General features: G+C 39.0%; 1 protein-coding gene across 1 annotated transcript, besides 1 other annotated feature; it reads right to left on the bottom strand.

The window, feature by feature from the left end:
- ATP6V1B2 (ATPase H+ transporting V1 subunit B2) lies at positions 1,409-25,724 on the bottom strand. Its single transcript, NM_001693.4, has 14 exons — positions 25,563-25,724; positions 18,566-18,621; positions 13,574-13,672; positions 12,666-12,759; positions 12,459-12,536; positions 11,789-11,928; positions 11,352-11,453; positions 10,906-11,003; positions 10,200-10,323; positions 8,137-8,287; positions 6,610-6,692; positions 5,781-5,885; positions 4,823-4,952; positions 1,409-2,842 (listed from the first exon to the last, which is right to left on the bottom strand). The coding sequence occupies exons 1-14, from the start codon at positions 25,696-25,698 to the stop codon at positions 2,703-2,705; spliced, it is 1,536 nt and encodes a 511-aa protein (NP_001684.2). The 5' UTR covers positions 25,699-25,724; the 3' UTR covers positions 1,409-2,702.
- Positions 25,671-25,950: a silencer, noted in NCBI's record as "silent region_18971". NCBI's record gives its function as "represses an Ori minimal core promoter by ATAC-STARR-seq in GM12878 lymphoblastoid cells {active_cell/tissue: GM12878}" and the evidence as "EXISTENCE:reporter gene assay evidence [ECO:0000049][PMID:35858748]".

Here is a 26,423-nt window from a genome sequence, read left to right as displayed (position 1 = left end):
GAAGTGATTTCTCATTGTTTCCAAATATCAGTCACCCGCTCCTTGTTACCACTGCAGGGCTTCATATGGAGGAGGGGGCAGCTGGGGACACCACAAGGTTTGCCTGAGTGTGAGGCAGGTGTTCAACCCCAAACTGGAAAAATGGCTTGAAATAAAACTACAGTTGGTAGCTGAGTAAGGAACATGACTGTTTCATTTTAAAAAAACCCACTTCCTTCTTAAGTTTTCCCACAAAGGATAATTTTCCCTCAAGAACTGCCTTGCCAAGTATTTCTTGTTGTAGTCTCTAAATGCTATTTTAAATGTAGTCTGGGGAACTATTTTCCGTTGGCTCCTAATACTGAATTAAGCTAACTTGCCCTTATGATAGTAACAAAAAATTTCAAGAGCAGAGGATGCTTTGTTGACCTCAGACGATTTGTACCCTCACACTTGCTGAAAATAAAACATCTTAGCGAGGTATTTATGACATTAGTCTGAAAACATTTTTTCACTTACATGAAATCTTACACAATGAAGTGGCAGTCAACTGCAAGAATAAATGCCGAATGAGTCATTTTAGTTAGCCTGACCTTTGAGGACACTTGGCTTCGTAGCAGGTCTTTTCATTAGGTCTTATTCTGGTATAAAAAGGCTCCTTCAGAAAATGTTTTCACTAAAAAATAAGTTACAAACTAACAAGAGTGCTATATAACCAACAATTCCTAAGTATTATGTAACAGTAATAAGGCAAATTCATCTTAAAAAAGGTTTACTAGTAACAGTGGCCTGCTATGGACCAGGCACTGTCCTAGTGTTTTACACACAAAAATCTCCAGTCCTTACAACAACCCTAAAAGGCATACAAGCAGACAAGCAGACTCGAATTTGTTGAATGATTAAGCAAGGCCATATAGTACTGGTAGAATCCGAAAGAGAACTCAGGTCTACCCAGTTCTTCTTATGATTAAGCTTTTTCCTCTCCATCTCCTGAAAGCTGCCTTGAACTGGAGTGGGGAGAAATGGGAGGCTCCATGACAGCATGCCCTGTGCTTTCACCAGGTTTCTATATATACAGGACATCCATGTGAGATTTTATGTGAAACAGGTTTTGGCTTGCTTCAAGCTGTATTTCACTATTTAGCACCCTCTTTTGCTCACAGCAGATGGGCTCTAGAGGTCCTGACTAGGCCTGAAATGAGGAACGCTGGGGAGCACCTGTAGGAATGCTCAGCCCTGGATCAAACTACAGCATGCTGTAAGGGACAGTACCAAAAAGAATGACAAGGGCAGTGTGGAAGCCATGTCCCTGCAACACAAGGGCTGGTTCCCAATCCTGGTTATGATGCTCAGAGCTGTGAATTGAAGAGATGTGTGATTACATATTTGCTTGTTGCTTTCCTCGTTAGAAGATAGAGAGTCACTTTAGTTAAGGTCCATTTAATTTAACATTTATTTTCATTTTATATCCAGATGTCACATTTTCTACATTAAAATATAATCATGCTGACTCCCCCAACCCCCAGCCCTCAGAGAAAAAAGTGAAGAACTTTACACAACATGAAAGATGGAATGCACGGGGTAGGGAAGTTGCTATTGCACCCAAGTAACAAAGAACACAGAGAGACCAACAGGACGCATGGCAGAACTGCATAGAAGATCGCTCAGGGCTCACGTCAGGAAGGCGCAGGAATTCAGAAAACTCTAAAGCTTGGAAATGCTATCGTTTGTGCCACAAAGATTACCCTGAAAAGGTAGAGAGAGGTCAAAAAGCAGAACCAAATTGGGGATTTTCAAAGGCTGCTCTCTAACAGAGTTTAAAATATCCGTAAACATAAGTGCTTCTGCTCCCTCCCCTTGCCTTCAGCATCTGGTAAACACTTTAGAAACTTAAACCACTGTTAGCATGTCAGAATGTAGAAAGGCTGTAGGTTTTTCTTTCTTCTCATCTTGTACCCCAAACAACAACTCTACTGGCAATTGTAATCATGTGACTCCTCTGCTTGGAAACCCAGTAAGGATCACCAAGACAAGGGGTCTCACTGCTACCAGACAGATACCAGCTGTGCAAAAAGTTGCAGGATTCTGTGTATTATTTGGAGAGGGAGAGCTGTAAGACACAGGAATCCCAATACGTAAGTACTAAAGAGAAAAAGAAAACTCCTTTCACTCATCTATTCATTATATAGGAAAGAGCAAAAAGACAGTCAAAACCATCTGCTTCGAGCAGCAGCACAGCCCAGCAATACAGGCATACCAACAAACCGAAAGCAAACACTCAGGAAAGAGCCTCTTGGCCCTTCTCAAAGGAGACTTCTCTCAGACTGGATCTTGCCCCTAATGTAGAGACCAAAGCATTATAACTTCAGAGACTGGTACTCTTGAGGGAGTTGAGAGGTAAGGTCTAAGAGACCCAAATAACAAGACTGTTATCAGGTAACTAACTACTCCACTATGTACAATACATACAGCAATAAGAAAACGCCACTCCATCCCTGCAGCACTTTAAACATAGCACTGAGGACCCAGGTAGGGGGATATTTTAAGGTCTGTTAGCAGTTTAAAACGTTGCAACACTGGCACAATATGTTACCTATTCTTTGTTTTTAATTACAGGGTAACATGGTAAACTCCAACACAAAGGTGGGAACCGAGAGTGCAAAAGGAATAAAGAAAACAGAACCAGTATTTCACAAGAGCGCGGAGCAATGCAGAAGCAGCAGCTAATGCTTTGCAGAGTCTCGAGGGTAAAATTCGCTGAGGGTGCTCTGAGGGATTCTCTTCAGCATTTCTTTGGGGAAGATTCGGAGTAGCTGCCAGCCAATGTCCAAAGTCTCAAAGACAGTGCGATTTTCGTAAGGACCTTAAAAAATTGAGATTGAATTAATAAATGCAAATGACTTCCAACTTAGCAGTGTTATCCAGTATGTATTGTTATATGACTAGCAGTGTATTAAATAGATATTGAAAAAAAAAAGTTGGGACTCCCAAGACTAAATGAGAAGGACTGAGGAAAAGAAGGCACAGACAGTGAGTATCATAAGGAACCAGAGAAGAGGGAAGAGGCGGCTGGGCTGAGACAGGGAGCAGTCTTGCGGGAGAGGATGGTGAGACAGATCTGAGATTTGACAACTGGGTAGGATACTTGAGCAATGGAAACTAGAATCAATGTTTTGTCCAGAGATTAGTAAGAAAAGTCTCCCTAGCACAGAAGGTTCACACAAAGAGAAAAGGCTGAATTTGAAGGCGACTAACACAGATGCTCAGAAGGACATAAATGCCAGTCAAGCACCTGAATACATGCAACCCTCTCCAGAGTATCACTATCTGAAGGTCAGTGGTTTCCCAAGTTGTTAAAATTATTTTTGATGGCAGAATCATCCTTATCCCCACAAATAAATCTTATTCTTTGAGTCCAAGGCTGGAGGTCTGGGTTCTTTTCTCTAGAGGAAAACTTTATTTTGTTTAAGATATTCAGGTTCTGCATTAAAAAAATTCCAATAATCATGAATATTTTGGGGATTTGAATATTAATAATGTATCATATAACTGGAAAGGTGCACATCCTAAGTGTACAGCCTGATGCATTTATTCCAAAGTAAACACACCTGTTGTAACCACCGATGTTAAGAGAGTATCACTAGCATTAGCAGGGGTGATGGGAGAGACCAAGCAAAACAGCTTGAAAATCCTGCCTATGCTATGTCATAAAAACCACTACAGGTTTTTTTAGTAGAGGGACAACCAATAAAATTAGTAATATATTTACCCTGGCAATGGCACACAAAGAGTCAAGAAGAGTGGTGAAAAAGTTGGCACCAATGGCCAAGGGTGATGGGACAAAGGTTTGGACTAGAGCCTTTGGACTCAAGAGTGGTCAGAGACCAGCAGCTTCAACATCACCCAGGAATTCACAGAAATGCAAAATCTCTGTCCCCACCAAGGTCTGCTGCATCTGAATCTGCATTTTAACAAGATCTCCAGCTGATTCAAAAGCATATTAAAGTTTAAGAAATACAGGACTAAGGCATTATAATGGAAATAAAAACTGAATAGGGTAAGATATTTCAAAAGAAAACAACACAAATTAGTAAATAATTGATCAATGGACAATAAGCAAAGAAGGTTAAGAATAATGCCCAGTTACTGAGCTTGAGTTAACTGGGACAATGATTATAGCAGAGGTAGATAAAAATTGAAAGGGCACTGCTAGGCAGGTCAGCTGGAAAAAAAACTTTGGTTCTGAGTACACTGAGCCTGAGGGGATGGTGGCATAAACAACAACGGTGTTCCTAAGGCAGCTGGAGATTGTGGAATCAGAGGTCTGGACAGTGGGTAAAGGTCCACACATCATAGAGCCCACAGCACAGTGAAAAGTGGACGCTGGGAGGGAAAGCAGAAAGAACAGGTAACTGAGCTTTTTGGATTACTAACAATTAAGAGGCAGGAAGGTAAGAAATGAGAAAAAGAGATGAATATAGATGAATCAGGAAAGTCCCAAGCCCCAAATGTCAAAGCAGATCATTGCTAAGAAGTTAGCAGCAAGGAGAACTGGCAATGAAGTTGTACCGCAGAGGGGCTGGGAAGGAGGATTCAGAAGGGCGATGGAAGAAGGAAAACAGTGAGATGGTAGCTGAGTAACTGGAAAATCAAGTCAAGATCTCCCAAGATGTTTAGAAGGCAGAGGAGAAGCCAGAGGGTTAAGGCAGGCAGGTGACAGAGCCTCTTCTCTAACCAGAGAAATAACTATATAGAAACCAATGAGAATTTTCTTAGGCTTGGAAAGCAGTTTTCAAAATTACATATGAGGCTTTTTATGTTTGTAAGCCAACAGTCATCTTACCCTGAGCAATGAAGTTCCTCTCAAACTTCTGCAGAAATTCCAAGTAGAGAAGATCATCTGAGGTAAGGGCTTCTTCTCCAACGACAGCTTTCATGGCTTGCACATCCTTTCCAATAGCATAGCACGCATACTAAAGAGAAGAAAGGCACCCATCAGCAGAGAGAAGCTCTCAAAATGTTCAGTCATCTGGGATATAGGAATGTACTGCTCTAGTTCTCCTCACAAGAGCCCATAGAAGGAATTTACAAAAACAATTCACATAAAATTCATATGAAAGTACCAGAAGGACTATATTCTCACTCAGAAAGGAGTCTTCAGGCATACAATACACAAGACACTCCTAATGTTCTACAAAACGCACACTTCTTCAATATGTTAATGAGCTCAAAATTTATAGAGCACTTGAAAATCAGAACTCATAGTTAAACCATGGAGAAATCCATCTTGAAGTTCTATTCAAAAAAAATCTGTGATATCGCTAAGTTTACCATTTCTACTTTATGGCCATAGTGTTTTTCTTTATTTGTGTTAGTGTACAATCTTATATGAGTATAAAAATCAAGGATTTCAGAGCCTACATAAAACTGTATACTTTAGTGTTCTGGTGACGGCTTAATATGTTAAGCAAGAAATAGGTCAGAGTAGCCTTTCAGGAATACTCTATAATTAACATTAAAATTGCTAATAAAAAATTTAAACAACCTCATTGCTTGGCTTTTTATTTGGAAACTTGATAGCATTAGACATGGGTTTCAAGCTAATCTTGATCATTTGCATCTGTCCTTATGGGAAAAGGCTGCTTTGGTTCTAATGAATGATTATGTATTCCACATCAAGCCTACACTAAAATTCCATGTGGATGGGGAAGAGAGAAGTGGTAAGGGTGAAAGACAAGAGGTGTAAGACAGCAGAAACGTATCCATATTTTCAAACACCATTCTTAGAAGAATGTACATACTAGCTGGTTAGATACATCGGCATGATCCTTCCTGGTCATCCCTTCTCCAATAGCAGACTTCATTAACCGTGATAGTGAGGGCAGCACATTGATAGGTGGATAAATCTTGGGTAGAATGAGAGGGAAAAAATACTATATTTAAGTACAAAACTCAAGTTTTACTGGTAATAAAAAAACATTTGAAACTCATTATTACAACTTAAATCAAAGACAACCGCTGCATTTGTCTCCTAGATGAATCCTACTGTCTCTTCCTGGCAAGAAAAGGTAGTAAGAAACACTTTATAGCATAGCATTTCTTTCGAGAATCAAATCCAAAAAAGTGTCATCTATAACACTGTACAAGACTATTTTAAAAAACTCAACTTTCAACATCTGTTTGATAAGTACTACCACATTATCGAGTCAAAATGGTCTTCTGAACTGACTCAAAAAATTATACACAAAATAAAAAAAATTAACAATAATTCCTAAAAGCTGATTTTAGAAGTCAGCATCTACTAGAGAGGCATGGAAAAGTCATTTTTTTCTATCAATAACAAGATTGGTAGATGATACCATTATGGAACAGAATTCCCAAAAAAGTTCTTGGAGACAAGTGACTCTGTTTTAAGACACAATAAAGGAAAGTGTTAAGAAGATTCTTAATTCTGGCGCTCTGCCGACACCAGAATTTAAGATAATAGAAATGACAATTTTATAACCATATTAAAAACAATTCAAGTTGATACTTTCTAAGCAAAGCAATTCCTAAGAGCAAAATCCAAGTCACTAAAGAATAACGGATGAGCAGGTCTGCAAGCTTCCCAGCACTGCTCCCGTCCAGTACCTGTCTGTTGTGCAGCTGTCTGTCCACATAGATCTGCCCCTCTGTAATGTAGCCAGTCAAGTCTGGGATGGGGTGAGTGATATCTACCAGAGGAAGACAGTTGGCATTAAGCATGGCATCTTTAGGTTATGAGTTTTAAAGCGGCCATCTCTCAGAACCAAACCCACAAAAAGTCCCTCTGTACTACCTGTAACATTACTTAGAAGAGTGTTCTTAGAGTCATTTTCTGTGATGCTGCCAATGTTCTGTGTCTGTGCTGTGCAGTACGGTAGCCATTAGCCAAATGTGGCTATCTAACACTTGAAACGTGGCTAACAAAACTGAAAAACTTAATTTCAATTATTTCAGTTAACTTGAACTTAAACAGCCAAATGTGGCTAGCGGCAACCATACTGGCCAGTTTAGTTTGGTTGCAGCAGTTAGACATGTGTTGGCTCTATGAGGTAAACTGGCTGCATTCATTAAAAATACTCTCTCCCCTAGGTAAGCGCTCTCCCCTCTCAATATAAGTAAAGTTTCATTTTAAACCCAAAGTTCCCTTATAGAAATTTGCCAACCTGATGTATACTAAGAACATTCTTAGTTCATAAGCTATGTCGGATGGATACACAACATTTCACCATGCAAAACGCAGGCATATAGACAAGTAAACAACACTACACAGGCTGCACCAAAAAGGTCACACAAAGCAACACATTTCCAAATCTGTTAAATTACATCATTTTGTAGCTACTCCCTTGGAACAAATCATTTTCACGTCAGAGGCAGTACAGAGTAACAGTGTGAGTTATGAACTCAAACTGGGTCCTAAATCTATCACTTGCTAATCTCAACAAATCATTTGACCTCCCTGTGCCTCAAACAGCATCTGCCTCAAAGTTGCTATGAGGAGCAAATGAGTGAATATTTATAAAGCACTCAGAACAGTGCTCAATTACAGTAAGTAATAACTTACCATATTTTGTCAAAGTGTTGTTCAAAAACTGAAATAAGGACAAAGAGGCAACACAGGAGAGGAATTCTGAATAGTCGTACCCCATCCTGGGCACACACACAGACAGGCATTGGAAAGTCATTTTTAACCAGCCCTTGGTTAAAAAAATCTGTCTCTCAGTTTTGTGGAGTTTCCCACTTGTACTCCTCATGTGGCACTGAACATGGCCATGTTAAATTACCGGTGCACACACATAAAAAACATCCCCAATTAGACTGAGTAACTTACATTAAGTAGAGACCATAAATTCTTTTCAAAAATTCTTTACATTTAGAACAGTGTCCTGCAAACAGCAGGCACTCAATAGTACCTAATAAAGTTAAAAACTTAAATTATGAAGAAAATTGCTTTTCCTCCACAATAGGATAATAACTGTGGGTAATTTTCAAATGAAAAATGTTTTATTTAGGCAAATAACCAAGATAAACTCTTAGGGGATGTGTTCTCAAAATAACTTCAACTCGAAAAGGTAGATGGGTCTTCTCTCTCTTTAAAATGATTAGGTGTGTTATAATCCAAATACCAAAACTTACCATCATTAGGCATGGTTAGAATAGGGATTTGAGTAATCGAGCCGTTTCTCCCTTCCACTCGCCCAGCGCGTTCATATATCGTGGCTAAATCTGTATACATGTAACCTGGAAAACCTCGTCGACCAGGTACCTCTTCCCTGGCTGCTGAAACCTGACAGCAGGTCAAGCAGAAGAGTATCATGCACGATATTACAACAAGCTTGCTTACAACATGTTTGTTTCAACATGCCAAAGTACAAAGTTGAAAATCCCATCATGTTCATTTTAAATACTGTCCTTAAGAATGATTTAGAAAAATCTCCCGGCAACATAAATTCAAAGTATTCTGTAACAAAAATGTTGACAATGGGGCACCAGAAGGTTTTTGCTAAAATCGTATTGCCATAATGTAAGTTTTCAAATAGTTTGCTAGAAGAAAATCTGTTTGCAATTTTATAAATCAAAGGAAGTTAATTTTAAAACAGAAAAGATTCTTGGTTCACAAGATTTATTCCACGTGGTGGAACTAGCCATATTTATCTAACCTAATCCCAAAAAGGTCAAAAGGGAAGGAAATGTACACGAGGAATCATCTGCTGCGCTTTACAACATTATTTAACTTAATCCTCACAGCAACCCTATGAGGAAGGTGCTACCTCCAATTAACAGTTGGAATCAAGGGTCAGAAAAATTAAACAATTTCTGAAGGTCACAAAGTCAGGAGTCCATTGCACTGCACAAAATAAGAATGGTGATAAACGATCTTTCCCTTAGAGACATGGATACCAGACTATAGGTGTGCATGTTCACCTACAATCAACTAGAACCCTAAAGCATTATGAAATCCAACTTCTAAGTGCTACTCTGACATCTTCAAAGGAGCGTGCTACAGCGGTGCTCCTCACAGCACGGTCTGCAGACCAACTGTTATCAACATGCAATGATCACACAGAAAGCAAGATAAGCATTTAGAAACTTTCAGGGCAATTTGGCAGAATAATTTTATGCCTGTTGAATCTAACAATTCTAAAATCTGCATTTGTAAATTATATATATAGTTAAAATTTCACTTTTCTAATAACTCAATTTTATTGCATTTTACAAAAGTATTGGTCTGTGATGGATGGGGGAGAAAAACTAGTCCTTGACTAGAGTTAGTCTGAAACAGCAATATAGCAGAGTAAGATATGGTGAGGGCACTGAAGGAATTTTAAGAAGCCTGTCTCTTCAGAATCTTTTTATGTGCTTAAAAAAGTAACTTACTCAAAATTTCAGTAATTTGTATTACTGAACAAATACCCCAAAACTTCTAGGGGTAACTGTTATAATCTTTCTTTAAGAAGCAGGTCTCGATCTGTCACCCAGACTGGAGGGCAGTGGCACAATCATAGCCCACCGCAGCCTCAAATTACTGGACTCAAGCTATCCTCCCACCTCAGCCTCCTGAGCAACTAGGATTACAAGTGTGTGTGCCACTACGCCCAGCCAATATCTTAATTTTTTTGTGGAGAAAGGGTCTTGCTATGTTACCCAGGCTGGTCTTGAACTCCTGATCCCAAGTGACCCTCCTGCCTTGGCTTCCCAAAGTGCTGGGATTACAGGAATGAGCTACCGTGCCCAGCCTGCTAGAATCTTAATATTTTTCCTAAATAAACACTGGGTTTTCTGAAGAAAAAAGTGCTGAAGAGAGTACTGTGAGAGTAGGGTCTTTATAAAATATTAACATCATTAAAAATGGAATTACAAAAAGGTTTAAAAATTAATAGTCTGGACAGAAACAGAACTTCCCGAGAGAGTAACTGAATAAACAGCTTGAATTATTTACTCCCTTTTACAATCATTTCTTAATCCATGGAGATAGTGACAGTATGATAAACAGGCTAACCATTTAAATCTTAACCTCTAATCACTTCTACCAAGTTGACAAAAACGAAGTAGTTTCCTTTCTGATTTATTAAGGCATTCTATTAATATATGAACAGTGGAATTAAAAAACCATAAAGAATGAAAACTTGCAAAGTGACAAGTTAACCCTGAAAATTAACCAATTTTGTTTAACTGAGGGAAAAACATGAACAACTTACCTCTCGAAGTGCTTCAGCATAAGAACTCATGTCTGTTAGAATAACCAATACATGTTTCTCACATTGGTACGCCAGAAATTCAGCTGTGGTTAGAGCCAGGCGAGGAGTGATAATTCGCTCAATGCTGAAAGGGAACATTAAGTCTTAGGCCACTCAAACCAAAAGACCAAAAAGAAAACACAAAAAGAAATGATTCTGGAAATAACAGTACAATTCCCCTTTTAAAGTTTTAAATGAATTGAGGAGAGTAAAGCAGTTGTTATTTTACAAATTCTTAAGTAAGGTATTAACAGTTATTTATAAATGTCCCAAATTTCTCAGTTGTATGGTTTCTCAACACTGGGGTGGGGCAGGCAGGTAGGAAGGAGAGAGAGAGGAAACAAATGAAAGCCAGATTTTTGAGGTAGGAGGAAAAAATCATTTACAGAGAGTTGATTGTGTATTAGGTAATTTATAAGTATGATCTCATTTAATATGCAAAACAACTCCATGAGACAAGTATCAGCTGTCACATCTTATGAGCTTCAGAACCTAAGTAATTTGCCCAGTGCCAGATAACTACCAAGAAGCAGGGCTGGACTTTAAATACAGGGTTACCTCATTGTTAGGTCCAAATGCTGTTATTACCACATTTTACCTCCCCAACCTTAAGACACACTTTTGATCCCGAGTCTGGGCCACAGAAAGAAATAGCTCTGTTACTTACGTTGGGTCATTAGCCAAGTTCAAAAAGAGGCAGACATTGTCCATTGAGCCATTTTCTTCAAAGTCAGATTTGAAGAACCGGGCAGTTTCCATGTTTACCTAAATAACAATAACTTCATCAGTGCTGGGAGAAGAAAAATCCTTAACATTTATTTCTGATGAAAGCCAAGCTACAGATTTGAATTGTTCCTTCTTTTAAAACCTCAAGTACCCCAAAAATCTTCACAAAAACCAACAGAACAAAGAGCCGGTTTGGGGCACAAACAATATTATTCTTAAATTTCAAATTAGTCAAATGCCAAATTTTAGTCCTTAATTTGGCCAAAATGCCAGATTGCAAATTCTTTACCTAAAGAAAAATTCAACTATATATGTACAGCTTACTACAATGTTCTCACGACACAAGCAAAATTTTACATATCATACTAAAACAAAAATTCTACTTACACCCATAGCAGCAAATACAATTGCAAAATTTTCCTCACTGTAGTCTACTACATCTTTGGATTTCTTTACCAAACCAGCCTGGCGACAGATCTGAGCTGCAATCTGATGAACAAAGTAGAAGAATTCAGTTGAAATCTAAAATAACATTTCTACAACAAAATAACTTTTACCATAAACTTTTTGGAATCGTAATCATAAACGAAACCAGGATGTTTTAGGGTATTCATTCAACAAAACTATTTTGTACTTTTTGCAAAGATATGCAAGGGTAAGCAAGAAGACATGTGCAGAAATAAAGATGTGAGGTAACTGGATTATACAAACAATAACACTGAGTATTTATTTTGAAAACCCTTTATTCGGTTTCTCAGTAACAGTGATGCATTATAGAAATTCTTGTCTGCTAAACTTCATAGCAAACCGATCCCAGTCCTCACCTCATTGTGTGGTAGCCCAGCAGCAGAGAAGATAGGAATTTTCTGCCCCCTAGCAATACTGTTCATCCCATCGATGGCCGAAATGCCAGTCTGAATCATTTCCTCTGGGTAGATTCGACATTGAGGGTTGATTGGCTGACCTAATGTATTTCCAAAAAGGAAAATTTCAACAAGTTGCCGCATTATTCATGAATGAAATTAGATATCATATCAAATTAAAAGAAAAGAAAAAGCACCAGAAGACCAGAACTACATAAAGCATCTCTTTACTACAAAAAAAATCAGTTATTTTTCAAATATGAAACTTGAAATAATTTTTTCCTTTACTCTTTTGTAGACTCACAAAACATAGGGTAATAGAATTCAAGTTCCTAAAGTAAAATAAAGATATAGCAAATAAGAGAGAAGTCCTAATTTCAAATTCATGGTTTTACCATATACATTTCAGATATATCCTAGATATTTTACAGTATCTTAAGATATTAATACATAAAATTTTACGATAATTTCTAAGAAAATATAATTAAATAATAAAATAATTTATAACCTATGGAGCGTGTTGCCTATCTACTTTAAGTGATATCACAAAAAACACTCTCTATCTGGCAAAGGTACAAGACAGAGTGAGGTTATTTTCTCCCAAACACAGCAATCCATCTACTGTACCTACCCATGATATCAAGGAAGTCTTCGGCCAGTACAACAGGACCTCTGTCAATGGGTTTTCCCGATCCATTGAATACCCGACCTAGAAATCAGTAAGAAGACAGGACAGAGTAGATGCTGACTTTCAAATGTTCATAATTTTTAAAAGACATTATGGAAATATGTTTAAAAGGAAACAGATCTCGGCTTAGAATGAATAATATCCATTTACCAAGCATATCCTCAGACACCGGTGTTCGGAGAATATCCCCAGTAAACTCACAGGACGTTTTCTTAGCATCTATACCTGAAGTCCCTTCAAATACCTATCAAGAAAAAGAATTAATGAGAAGGGTAGAAGTAATTTAGATCACGGGCATTTACATTTTATTTGTCTGTTAAACAGCCCTTATAATGTAAAACCCATGAATGTATACTACTTTTGATATAATGAGCAAAGAAATATGATAATAAATCAAATTGTCAACCTTTAGATCAAGGGTTCATGCCTACAGGCCAAATTTGATAAGCAAGCTAAGCATGTTTATATATATACACATACATAAATATAAATATATAAATATATATATGTTTATATATATATATATTTTTTAAAGGGTTGTTTCAAAAAAAAGAAAGAAAGAAAAAGAAGAATATGTAGGAGAATTTAGTTGGCCCCACAAAGCCTAAAAGCTTTACTCTCTGGCCCTTTACAGAAATCTTGCCAATCCCTGCTTTAGGCTATTTTTAAGGGGAACATGTTATTTTAGAAAATTGCCATTACCCATAGTGAGGTAACATTTTAAAACTAGGAAATGTATGAGATAATTTAAAGGAAGAAACTCAGACAGATATCCTGTTGGTTTCATCACATCATCAGTGAATTCTGCTTTTCATCTCTCTCCTTCTACATGACTACTTAATTTTATCCATTTTAAAAAAGCCACTTACTAGTGTTGCTATCGGACTAAGTGACACTGAGCAAAAAAACATGCAATAATAGTTTCTTTCCCTGCAGCCGGTAACCAATCTCTAAAGACTCTAAAAACACTTATGCAATGATCATCACAGAAAGAAACAAGCAGTGTTCCCTATGTGTAGGCAACTAGGAAACAGTTCAGCTGGCCAGCTGAAACTTACCTGAACTACTGCCTTGGAACCACTAACTTCCAGAACTTGCCCACTTCTCTTTGTGCCATCCGGTAAGGTCAAATGGACAATTTCAGCATACCTGGGAAACTAAAGAGAAAAAAATAAAGGATCAATATCCGACATTTTACAAGCCCCCCAAATTACTACACATGCTCTGTCTCTCCCATGTTGTGTCTGAATATGGAACCCTCTACTCTTCACAGACACAGGTTTTTGCTGAGAGCTTTCAATACCCTCAGGTAGTTTAAGTCCTTACAGCAAACATCACTGTCACATATACTAGCAAACAAAGCATAAGGTACAGAAGAAGGGTCTTAAATCCATGAAAACATGGGAATTAAATGTATTGCTTTTCCTCTGCATGCATATTTTATAGTTTTGAGGCTACAGAAAAGTACAGATAAACATGTTCTCACCACCTAGAAATGATGATTGCTTTCTAGGCTGTGTGTGTAATCAACTGTGTGCTCCAGATGTGGTTGACAGGGGAAGAATAAAATGTTACTAAATAGGCTAGGCGCGGTGGCTCACACCTGTAATCCCAGCACTTTGGGAAGCTAAGATGGGCAGATAATCTGAAGTCAGGAGTTCGAGACCAGCCTGGCCAACATGGTGAAATTTTATTTTTAATTTTTTAAAAATAAAAAATTAGCCAGGCATGGTGGCACAGGCCTGTAATCCCAGCTACTCAGGAGTCTGGGGCAGAACTGCTTGAGCCGGGGAGACGGAGGTTGCAGTGAGCCAAGATCGTGCCACTGTACTCCAGCCTGGCTGATAGAAAAAGACTCTGTCTCAAAAAAAAAAAAAAAAGAAAGTTACTAAATAATAATTACTATTATAATAAGATAATGCTTAAGTCTCATCCTCAATCTAGTTCTCCTAACAAGATATATATTCCTCTAATCCATTTTTACTCTTTAAAAAGACATGTCTCCAAAAAATGAAGTTTGGTGATTTACATAAATGGCAACGTACTAATCACTCCGCAATTTGTTTTTCACTTGACCTGATATTAACATGACATTTGGCATGTTAATACTTATTTTATCAACATAATTTATTGAAAGATGCATCATTATTTTGTGTGATGTGAAAAGAGAAACCTGCCAATTAAACTATGATGTGCCATTGCTTTAAGACCCTTTGGAGATATGGGCACCTTAGTATTAATGTTAAAACAGAGCAGATATAGTTAAATCAGATAACTACACTACCTTTCATTCAGCTGTTCTTTTACCAGTGGAGTTCTAGGTTGTTCCAAATTTACACTAGCACAGAAATGTTACAATGAGCATTCTTGTATGGGGCTCCTCATACAAGCATGCCAGAATTTCCCAAAGCCATTTGGTGGGCCACATACAGGCCATGCCCATTTTCTGCCAAATTAACTCTGCAAAGGAACCTTATTAATTTACACTCTCCCTAGCTATATAAAAAAGTATCCTTTCCCTCCATCTTTGCCAATCTATGCTTTTAAAAGTAATTTTTGCCATTTTAATAAAAACAGCATCATTTTAGTTTGCATTTTCCTAACTTGTACCAATACTGAGGAACTTCCCATGCTTATCATTGTCAATTATTCATTCATATTACTGATAAGTCAGACTTCATTTCCTATGAATTGCTTATTAATATCCTTTTCTTACTTATCAAGTAAATCCTTCTTATTCATTTATAGAAGTTTTATAGATTCTCTATATTAATCCTTGTACAAATATCTTTTCTTACTCTCCTTCATATCTTTTAATTTTGCTTATGGTATCTCTTCATACAAAAGTTTTAACACTTTTTTTTTTTTATACTTTAAGTTTTAGGATACATGTGCACAACACTTTTTACATAATAAAACATACTGTGGTCCTTTACAAATTTATGTCTTTTGTGTCTTGTTTGGAAAACAGCCTGAAGTCATAAAAACGGTCTTTTCTTTTTTATTTTATTTTATTATTATTATACTTTAAGTTTTAGGGTACATGCGCACAATGTGCAGGTTAGTTACATATGTATACATGTGCCATGCTGGTGTGCTGCACCCAAAAACGGTCTTCTGTATTGTCTTCTATTAGACTTATGTTTCCTTTTCTATATTTAGATCTTTAATTCATCTGGAATTTTGGTAACTAATTTTATATTTCTCATTTTTATATGGGAAACCAATTGCCCTAACAATATTCTGAGCAGCACAGTGTCCCCCATGGCCTTGTAATGTTGATTTACCAAGTCGAATTCTCATGTGTGAAGAGTTGATTTCAGGGCCCTAAATTTTGTTCCACTGTTATATCTGCTTATTACTGAACCAAATCCTCATTTTTAATTACTCTTCCCTGATTGTGTTAATTGGGGAGAATTGAGTCTTTTCCTTCATGAACATGGAATCTTCACTTATTTTAGGTCTTCTTTTATGGTCTTTCACAATGTTTTATAGTTTTCTGTAAATAGTTACTCTGGCATACAGAACACTAAAAATTTTTGTAAACTGATCCTGTATCCACTACCTTGTTTGCTACCTTGTTTCTAATTGTCTGCCACTGGATGACTTGGGTTTTCTGATTCATTAATCAGATTATCAAGAAATGATGATGGCGGTTCCTTTTCCCTTCTAATCGCTTTGTACCCTAATTTCTTTTCCCCATAGCACTGGGTAAGTTTTTAGCAGAAAGATGGATAGTGATGCTGAGTGAGGATTGGAAATTTCAGCCCCATCCCCTGACTTCCTGACAGAGTAGCGGTACTGGAAATTGACTAATCACCGCTGCTAAGGACTTGACCAGTCATGCTTAGGTCTTCAAAAAAAATCCTAACTGAGGGTGTTTGGAGAGTTTCTGGGTTCGGCAGCAAGAATGCATCCATGTGTCAGGAAGGTGGTCCACCCCAGCTCCACGGGGACAGAAGCTTCTGTGCTCGGGACTCTTCAGGGCCTCACTCTATGATCATCTCTTCAGCTGGCTATTCATTTGTATCCTTTAATATAACCTTAACAGTAGTGGTAATATTAATATATTAATATACCCTAAATCAGTAATAGTAAGTAAATGGTTTTCCTGAGTTCTGTAACCTATTCTAGCAAATTATCAAACTTCAGAAGGGTATCCTCAATCTGTAGCCGAGTTGGACAGTAGCTGTGGGTAACCTGGGGACCCACTACTTTTGATTGGCATCTGAAGTGGACTGCAGTCTTGTGGGACTAAGCCCTTAACCTATGGGGTACACACAACTCTTTGCAGTGAGTGCCAGAACTGAGCTAAATTGCAGGGCATCCAATAGGTGTTCCCCAAAGAACTGAATTGTTATAGGAAAAAACACACACATCTGGTGTCAGAAGTGAAGTACATACTGAGAACAGCAGTAGAGAGGGAATAGTTATTTTCCTTTCACTGATTTCAATGGGAATGTTTATAGAATCTTCTAAGTACTTGATTTGCTGCAGGTTGTGGTAGATACTCACTAAGAGGTTAAAAGTTTGTTATATTCCTTATTTTCGAAGAGGCTTTTTAAAAAATGAGTAATTTCATCAAATTTTTTTTCTGTATTTATTGAGAAGAATATAAGCTTTTTCTAGTTTAATCCATGAATGTGTTGAATTACATTGTTAGATTTTCTAATATCAAATTATCTACTTTTGCTGATATTTTACATAGGTATTTTGCTAATATCTAACATGAATGCATTAAGAATTTTGGGATCTGTGTTTATAAGTGAGAACAGCTATTTTTCTTTTCTAATACTATCCTTTTTCTGGTTTGGAGTCAAAGATACTTTAACTTCACAAAATTAGTTGGCAGCAGTGCTTCATCTTCTTCTATTCTGATATAATTTGCCTGAGATTATCTGTTCCTTGATCCTATATGTTTTATGTTAAAAACAAAAGCCAAAATCTAAAATCAAATCACTATCAATCTCATAGTCTAAATAGATTTTTCTACAACTACATAAAAATGATTTACCAGTCTTCCCTCACCTATAACTACAACCCAATGTAACATTCAATGAAACTTTTTTAGGTCTCTTAAAATTACTTCCTCAGAGACGGTTTCTAAGTCCTTCCCAGTATCATCTTTCACAGCACCCTAACTGCCTCTTCACAGCGCGTACCAATGAGACATTGATACTATATCTGCATCTCCACTATACTATGCTCAACTAGGGGAGACCCCGTTCTCGTTGTCCACCATTATATTTTCTGTACTGGGCTCAGCACTTAACACAATTGAGCCCAAATATTTTTTGAGCTGTTTCAATAATATACTTACTAATATTTAAAAAATTTATATTTTAAAAATGAGTCCAAAAGTTTATTTCACAAAGAATATAGAAAACAATTAAAATATAAAGAAACAAACAAAGCTTCCTAATATTTTCCCCAGAAAACAAAAGAGGAGGCTGTATTCTTTTACAAAACGTTAATGGGCACCTGCCTAAATCTTGTACAACTTCAGTTTGATTATGGCTTTGAATCAATCTGCAGCACATATCAAACTGCAGTCAGGAGGTAAACTCACTAGGTTTCATCTTGAGATTAGTTTCTACAGGTGCCTTATCATACAGAAAGATATTACCTTAGTGATAAAGCAGAAGAGGCAATGCACTTTGCCCCTTCTTTTAAGAAGTGTTTCTCAATGTATTTTCTACTTCCAGAGGGGTCACACGCCAAGCACAAATGCATCATTAACCTCTCTCAACAAACTAGTAATTGTATGCCTCTCCCTGACCCACCCCTGTAACCAATGTACAATTACTGTTCTAGAAAACATATTATGGAAATTATTTTCTTGGATGATATTTTGGTCAAACAGCTCAGGCAAAAATCTTAGCCCAGGGTATCTGATAGCCCAGGGTATCATGGTATCTGGGCTTTAGACTGACTGACACCCAGTCTAAAGTATGGCTTAAAAATCATAACAAAAATTTAAAGTATACTAAATAGGACTTAATGCCACATTTTTAACTACATAAATAGACCAAAACAGATAGTGGTATTACCTTAACATGATCTAAGATCACTAGTGGACCATTGACTCCAGATACTGTCTTGTATGCTGGAAAGAAATACAGAAGAGTCAGTTTTAGTCAAATAGCACAAAAGCTTAAATTAGCTCTCTGGCATTACCAAAAATCCTTTCTACGTTATCATGTCTATTAGAATACGGTACACTCAAATAGCTACAAAATTTTTCAATGCATTTATAAACTACATCTGTGCCTATACAACTTTTCATAATCCACTGTCATCCAACCAAAAATATTTTGAATCCTTAGTAAGTCATTGTTGTAAGCACCCAGCATACAAAAACAAGACACAGAGGGAAAGACTCTGCTTGTCTCAAAAGTTCAGTCTTATGCGAGGGGGTGGAGTTAGAATGTGATGAGATAAGGGCTCTAACTATGGCCTGCACAGGGTTTGTGGGAGCACAGCAGAAACAGGGGAATAGTTCTCACCTCAGGGAGAAAAGTAAAAACTTTATAGAGGACGCAGCATTTAGCTAAGTAGATGAGGAAAGGGAATCCTTAATGTTACGCAGAAGTGACAAAAGTCACAAAGGAAATTGGAGAAATTGTATAGCCTGCAAGGTAAAAAGCCACAATTAAATGGTGTCATAAAAACTAGGGAAAAGAGCTTCTGAAGGACGGAGTAGGCAATGGAAAGAAAGGCCAGGGGGTCAAACAAGATAAGAAAAGGATCCTTTTAAAAAAAGTCAAACGTTACTGCCAGGTTAGAGACTGTTGTTTTCCACTGCAAAGTGCGCCCTAGGAATAAACAGCTAATTCTACCCCAGCAGGTCCTACCCAAAGCCCTCACCTATCACACCTGCATGGCAAGTGAAATGGGGATCAGGTATAAGAACACTCAGGGGAGAGTAATTCTACCAGACACCTACAAAATTCACTAAATTTCATAAGCAGAACAACTGAAAAAAAATACATGAACTAAAGTTTTGAAGAAAATTTACTATAAGGCCTAAAATAATTAACATGAAGCTGTCTAGCAACTGGGAATTTTTCACTTGCTTGATTTCTTTTGAGGTCTTATAATGAGCTTGCACAGAGATTCCTGGCACAGATGTGGACTCCCAAGCATGAGGAAACCATTTACTAACCAGTCTGTCCACTCAAGTGGCTTTGGAATTTAAAATTACAATTCCTTCAGCCTCAGGCGGGGAAGCCAGAGCCCTGGTAAAAATGCTGGGACAGAGCAGACAGCACTGTCAGGGCTTCCATCTTTCCTGCTAACAGGACGTTTAAATCCAGACATCACATATTTGCTTGAATACATCAGTAATTGTACTGCAACTGTCTCAATAGAGGCCCCCCAACTGAACTGTATTTTTTTTTCCCCACTTTAGATAAAAAGCAAGCTACTTGGATGGATGGTCATGTGAAAGGATTAATCATTCCCCTAGATTACTAGAAAGACCCCATTTGCCACATTTTCTGCCACTTTTATGAAAACCATCCCTACTGTTTTAAAATGATTGAATACTCTTAAAAAACATAATTCCAACCCTTTAAAAGATTTCTTCATTGTTCTCATTTTAAAGACTCCCAGCATTTTTTTTACAATGGCTTTCTAAAATTGCCATGTGGAAATGGAAAGTGAGCTACATTAGAAATATGTTTTCTTGAAACCAGTTTTCAGAAATGCAGAAACGTAGACCTTTCCAAAACCTTTACCAAACAGCTGGGGTGAGGGAGGGGATATGGTATTGAGATTTATGATTAACTGTTTTGAATAAAATGCAACATCAGTAAAATACACCAGGTTCTTAAAATTCTCTTTATTTTTTCAACAAGATTGTATCTCCTTTATAGGTCTGATTTCTACAACAATACTGCTTTAGAATCTCATGTTTAAAATTCAAGCTCATTCCAAACTATGAAATTTTGCCAGTCACGAGCAAAAGTATGACCAAGAAAAAGAAACACTAGTCATAGCTTTTCCTGGAAACAGTGACTCAAATTGACATCTACTACAGAAGACAAGATTCTACTTCATCAAAAGTCTCTAAATTTGGAACAACGTATCCAGCCTTTTAAAAAGTTAGTAAGTAACCTTGCAAGTTAATTGATAACACTATCATACATTTAATAAGTACTTTTCAGGAATTCTCATTTAATCTCCATAACAGACAGAGTTAGCTATCATTATTCTAAGTTTTAGAAGAGAAAAATTATTCTCAGAGAAATTATTGTGTCTTGCCCAAGGACACAAGCAACCAGCCCAAGGATCTGAATGTGTACACTCTAGCTCCAAAGCCACTTATTCTTTGACTCTACTACAGCCCAAATTCTAAAACTGAACTGGTTCATTTTTTGTGGTATGGTATCTTGTAAGAATTATGAAGCGATACCACCCAAAACAATTTCACAAGCCTGCAATTTTAGGTATGCAAAACAGGTTTTTACTTTTTAACGCACCAGGCAATAAACTTCATCCCCAATGTGGCAGTACTGACAGGTGAGGCCTCTAAGAGGGGAATGGGTCATGAGGGCTCTGCTCTTATGAATGGATGAATCCATTCATGGGTTAATGAATTATCATGTGAAGGTAACTGGTGGCTTTACAAAAGGAAGAGAGACCTGAGCTAGTGCCCCTGCATTCTCAGCCCCCTCACCATGTGATGCCCTGAACCACCCTGGGACTCTTTCAAGTCCCACCAGAAAGAAGGCTCTCACCAGATGCGGCCCCTCCACTTTGGCCTTCCCAGACTCCAGAACTTTAAGAAATAAATTCCCTTTCTTTATAAATTACCCAGTTTCAGGTTTTCTGTTAAAAGGAGCAGAAAATGGCTAAGACAGTAGGCAAGGCTGATGCACCCTAAGGAAACTAAGGCCCTGATAAGTTTGTTTTTAAATGGGGGAGCCAGGCTTCTAACTGTTTTGTTTTTCTTTAATCTTAGGATTGGTACTCTATGACCCTTATAATATTTCTGGCCTTAGTCTTCAGTACAATTAAAAAGTATGGAGATCATACAGCTTCTAGCACTTGGACTACAAGTGGGGACAAAAAGACAATTTGTATAAAACTACAGCTCTTCTCCATGGTACTAAAACTATCTGCAAAGAAAACCAAGCAGAATGATAACAAACACTACCTTTTATCTCTAGATTTATCCAGCCTTCCTCACCATTACCATTAACAGCCCAAAACAGAGATACCAGTTTAAACTATGGCTGTCAAAGACATTAAGTTGCCCTTCAAAACAGGAAAAAACCCATTTGTAAATTACCTAAATATTTCTATTTACCTACATATTGACCACTCCTCTCCAAATGAAAAAGAATTTGAGCCCGTAGGTGTGTGAATGGGGGATAATCAGAACTTCTGACAACACAGAAGATATATGCTTATATTACCTTCTTAACATATTTTACAACCAAAATGTCTTGGCTTTGATTCTGAACTATCATATGAGCCAGACAAGTATTTATGAAGTAACATCTAAAACCCAAAATCTACACGGGTTTTAAGGAGCACATATTTTATCAGATGACATCCTCTTCCTCCTGCAGGATAGGATATTGCTCAACACTAGTAACACCATTTAATGATTACGAAATACTCAGAAAAAGTTGACAGCCATTGCATAATAAGTGTCCTAGTCTTTTAGCCTCTGCCTTATTAGCAAAACAAAAACCCAGAGCAATCATCTTCCCTTGTACAAGAAGAGTAGAGATCTGCATGATGAGCAGTGAGCACCTGAAGAAGAGGTTCTAGGAAAAAAGCAAGGAGAAGATTCCTATTTTGACTTTTTGCAGGGCTGGCTCTGCTTTATGATATAAGAAACTTAAGGCCAGTTGATCTAGGGTCTCAAGAAAAATGGAGATGACCAAATTCAAAATACATAGCACCCGAAAGCTCTATGTATGTTGTTGAATCTTTTCTTTTAAGAGAAAATCAAGTTTTCATTCCTTGTGACTTCAGAAATTCAACTAAAATGCTCAAGATAATTTCCTAATTTCAAGCCTGAATATGTTTTCCATTTCTTTTAAAAGTCCTATAATCTTGAAGCTATTTTTTAAAAGGATCTAATTTGTACAGTGGAACTGTCAACATTACTCCATTTCTTCATTCAAAAAACAAAGCTTTTTGAGTTTAAATGCAAGTTACACAATTACAAGGCACATTCTATGTGTCAGGCACTGTGCTAGGCAGTGGGGACACAAAAAGGATCTCTGACTTCTAAAGGTTCAGTGTGAAGCTTTAGGCTGGGCACAGCAGCTCACACCTGTAATCCCAGCACTTTGAGAGGCCATGGCGGGCGGATCTCTTGAGCTCAGGAGTTGTAGACCAGCCTGGGCAACATGGGGAAATCCCATCTCTACCAAAAATAAAAAATAAAAATTAAAAAAAATTAGCTGGACGTAGTGGTGTCCGTCTGTAGTCCCAGATACTTGAGAGGCTGAGGTGGGAGGATCGCTTGAGCCTGAGATGTGGAGGTTGCAGTGACCTGAGCTCACACCACTGCACTCCAGCCTAGGCAACAGAGTGAGACCCTGTCTCAACACACACACACACACACACACACAATAACTATAATTACATGTCCCCTTAAATGATAACATCAATCAATTCACAAAAAATTACAATCAATTTACAAAAATTAAGAGGTTGGCTGGGCGTGGTGGCTCATGCCTGTTATCCCAGCACTTTGGGAGGCCTAGGTAGGCGGATTGCCTGAGCTCAGGAGTTCGCCACCAGCCTGGGAAACACGGTGAAATCCCGTCTCTACTAAAATACAAAAAATTAGCCGGGCATGGCGGCGTGCGCCCGTAGTCCCAGCTACTCGAAAGGCTGACGCAGGAGAATTGCTCGAATCTGGAAGGCGGAGGTTGCAGCGAGCCTAGATCGCGCCACTCTGCACTCCAGCCTGGGTGACAGAGCGAGACTCCATCTCAAAAAAAAAAAAAAAAAAAAAACCCACAAAAATTAAGAGGTTAATCAATATTTACTCAGAAGCAATTAAAACTTTTGAGTAGAATAAAAAATATGGCAAAATAAGAAGATATTCAAATGCTGTTAGTTGTTAGCCTAAGTATGATATCATTTATGCTTTTTAGAATAACACGGATATATAAGTGAAACTCAACTCGACCGGGCATTTCAACTCCCTGCTCTGATTCCACCCATGTTCACAATCTATCCACTGAATTATTCGAGCAAGGAGTTTAAATGCAAGTTACACAATTACAAGACACATTCTATGTGTCAGGCACTGTGCTAGGCAGTGGGGACATAAAAAGGATCCCTGACATCTAACAGTTGAGTGTGAAGCCCTATGCTACAACAGTTTTGTCAAGAATAACGTCTGGAAAAATCCCTCAGCAACTGGGTAAGTACGTACAAACCATGGAGAAATCATATTCATCTCTCTTAAAGGTTTACAATCTTAATCATGGAGTACTCTTTAAACAACGTTATTTCAGTTGATATTCTCTGAATTGACACTGAATGATTAATTATATGGAAACTGACTACTGCACCTTTATAACCTTTTTTGAGAGGCACCACTAATGTCTATCTGTTCTACCCAAAGAAAGGCAATGCATACAAACGCAATTAATAAAAGAGAATTTGTAATTCGTAGGTATAAATTTATTGCCAAGGTTTGCATAAGAATGCAACATCTGCCGATTTCCTGAAGTAGCTACTTCAGCTCAGATAAGTCCCAACATACATTTTCTAATTCGAACAATTCCCAGTTACTGTAAAAGGCACATCTCAGCAATCCACCGAATCAAATGTTTTCCTTTTTCTTCACACTGCAGTGCTATCACATGACCCAGTGACAGATCAGGATGTGGATTAGTCAGGCTTCAGATCGCCCAGACTAACACCCTTCATCTGAAATCCTTTTTAATCAGTCGGCCACCTAGAGACAGACACTCTGGCAATTAACCAGTGAAAATGCAGTCTCACCACCTGGGGAAACATCATGTGCTTTTCCCAGTTTTTTAAAAAGTCTATTTCGAGGGCTCATTGCCAGTTCCGAAGAAAGCTGTGAAGAAGTTGGATGCTACACAACTGCATTCTCTAGTAATCAAGAACCATTTCTTTTGGAATTGCTGAGCTATCCACTTAAACCTAGTTCATTAAGGCCTTTTTATTTAAAAAATCACAACATTTAAACAAGCCTATGCACACACACCACCTATGGGCAAAGCCACCTGGCTTCCCCAAAGAACCCTGCACTCAACCAAGTTTGGTTAACTGGTCAGTAAATGAAGAGGCAACGGTAGAAAAAGGCCCAGCGAGAATTTAAGAACCTGGATTTTTAGTCCCTGCTCTGCCAATAATTAAGTGTCTGAAGCATGGCAAATCCTACCCCTTCCAGAACCTTAGGCTTCTCACCTGTAAAATGATAGGGTTGGACTGGATGACCTGCAAGGTACTTTTCAGCTCTAGCGTTCTCTGATATCTAGGTGTCCTTCTGCGGAGCAGCCCCTCCACCAAACACCAAGCCACATCTCCCTCTGGCTACTGGCCTGACCTCCATCCACGAAAGGCCTGACCACGTCAGCGAAGGCTCTACCGTCTGCCCTCCGCAGGAGTTGAAGACCCCATTGAGGTCCTCACCAGGGGGAGGGGAGAAGGGGCGTTCCCTCGACCCCTAGATATCCAAATGAAGTCAGGGGAAGATTAAGATCGGAGTGGCAAGAAGTGGCCCTCGGGGACGGGAAGCAAGTGCCTAAGAAGGCTCCAGCCTAGGGAAGCTGGGGAGGGGAGGGGGTAGGGCAACAGCCAGGAGCCCACCAACCCCAGGAAAAAGTTCCCGCTGGTGCTCTTGCCCTCAGCCCATCTCCTGGAAATATTAGGTACAGGCAAATCTCCTTCTAAAGAGACAAGTGGGTCAGGGTCGGAGGGGAGACGCGGGAGGGAAAAACAAATCCTACCCCCTACCCGCTGGCTAAGCAGGTGACTGGGAGCAAAGGGCTAGGCTAGGGAGCAAAGACCGGAGACGTATTACTCTCTGATACTCACTGAGGCGAGGCTGGGAGAGGTAGTTCCGACTGACTGCCAGCGCCTGCTCCCGAGCTCCCACCGCCGGCCCACCGGTGGGCACGGGTAGCTCGGGTGCGGCCCCGTTGACAATCCCCCGCATCGCCCGCAGCGCCATCTTGTCTCCTCTGTCCCGACTGGCCCAGCAGCGACGCCGCGCACGCGCAGATATACCAAGGCGGCCCGCGGCCCGAGGCTCCGCCTATGCGCGCTGCGGCGCCCCGGCCTCGCCCCGCCCCCTTCGCCGCCGGCCGCCCCCAGCCTCGTGACTTCGCGCCGCTGGGGCCAGACCTGCTTGCGAGCAAGAGGAGCTGACCAGCGTGCTGGGAGGCGCGCGCGGGCGCAGAGGGAAGGGAAGCGAAAGAGGGGAGATGGAAGGAGAGAGGAAAGCCAGCCGAAAGAGAGGCGCACAAGCGGAGTGAGGGGAGGAAGGCAAACGCGTGCAGGCCAACGTCAGCTGATATCCATTTCGAATGGGCTTTCGTGACGCTGAATGGAGAGAACTCAAGCTGTGAAAACCGCTTTGAAAAACAGAAGCAATGGAAAACATGTTTCAGTGATTATTAACACATGTGGCATCATTTAGTTCACTTTACTCCCTACCCAATTCGTTCACGCATGTATCCATTCGACAAACATATATTGGCTTGTTATAGGATGTGCGTAGCGGTGTGAAAAATAGGGGCAGATTTGGAAGCTGTGTAAGGGGTGGGACTAGTGTAGGATGACAGCCCAGGCTGGAGGCCGGAGCAATGGAATGGATTCTTCTTCTTCTTCTTCTTCTTCTTTTGAGAGGGAGTCTCATTCTGTCGCCCAGACTGGAGTGCAGTGGCGTAATCACGG

Source organism: Homo sapiens, chromosome 8 (assembly GCF_000001405.40).
Source record: "Homo sapiens chromosome 8, GRCh38.p14 Primary Assembly".
Classification (NCBI taxonomy): domain Eukaryota; kingdom Metazoa; phylum Chordata; class Mammalia; order Primates; family Hominidae; genus Homo; species Homo sapiens.
The sequence above is the reverse complement of the archived record's forward strand: the minus strand, read 5'-3'. Positions and strand labels throughout refer to the sequence as shown.

Bases quoted from the DNA above. Each gene is read 5' to 3' on its own strand.
- ATP6V1B2 (NM_001693.4), bottom strand. From the start codon at position 25,698: ATGGCGCTGCGGGCGATGCGGGGGATTGTCAACGGGGCCGCACCCGAG. The intron at 13,673-18,565 runs GTAATACCACTA...TTTTCTCTTTAG, and splicing joins TGATCTTAGATCATGTTAAG to TTTCCCAGGTATGCTGAAAT. The intron at 4,953-5,780 runs GTATGTACATTC...TCTTCTCTTTAG, and splicing joins CCGATGTATCTAACCAGCTA to TATGCGTGCTATGCTATTGG.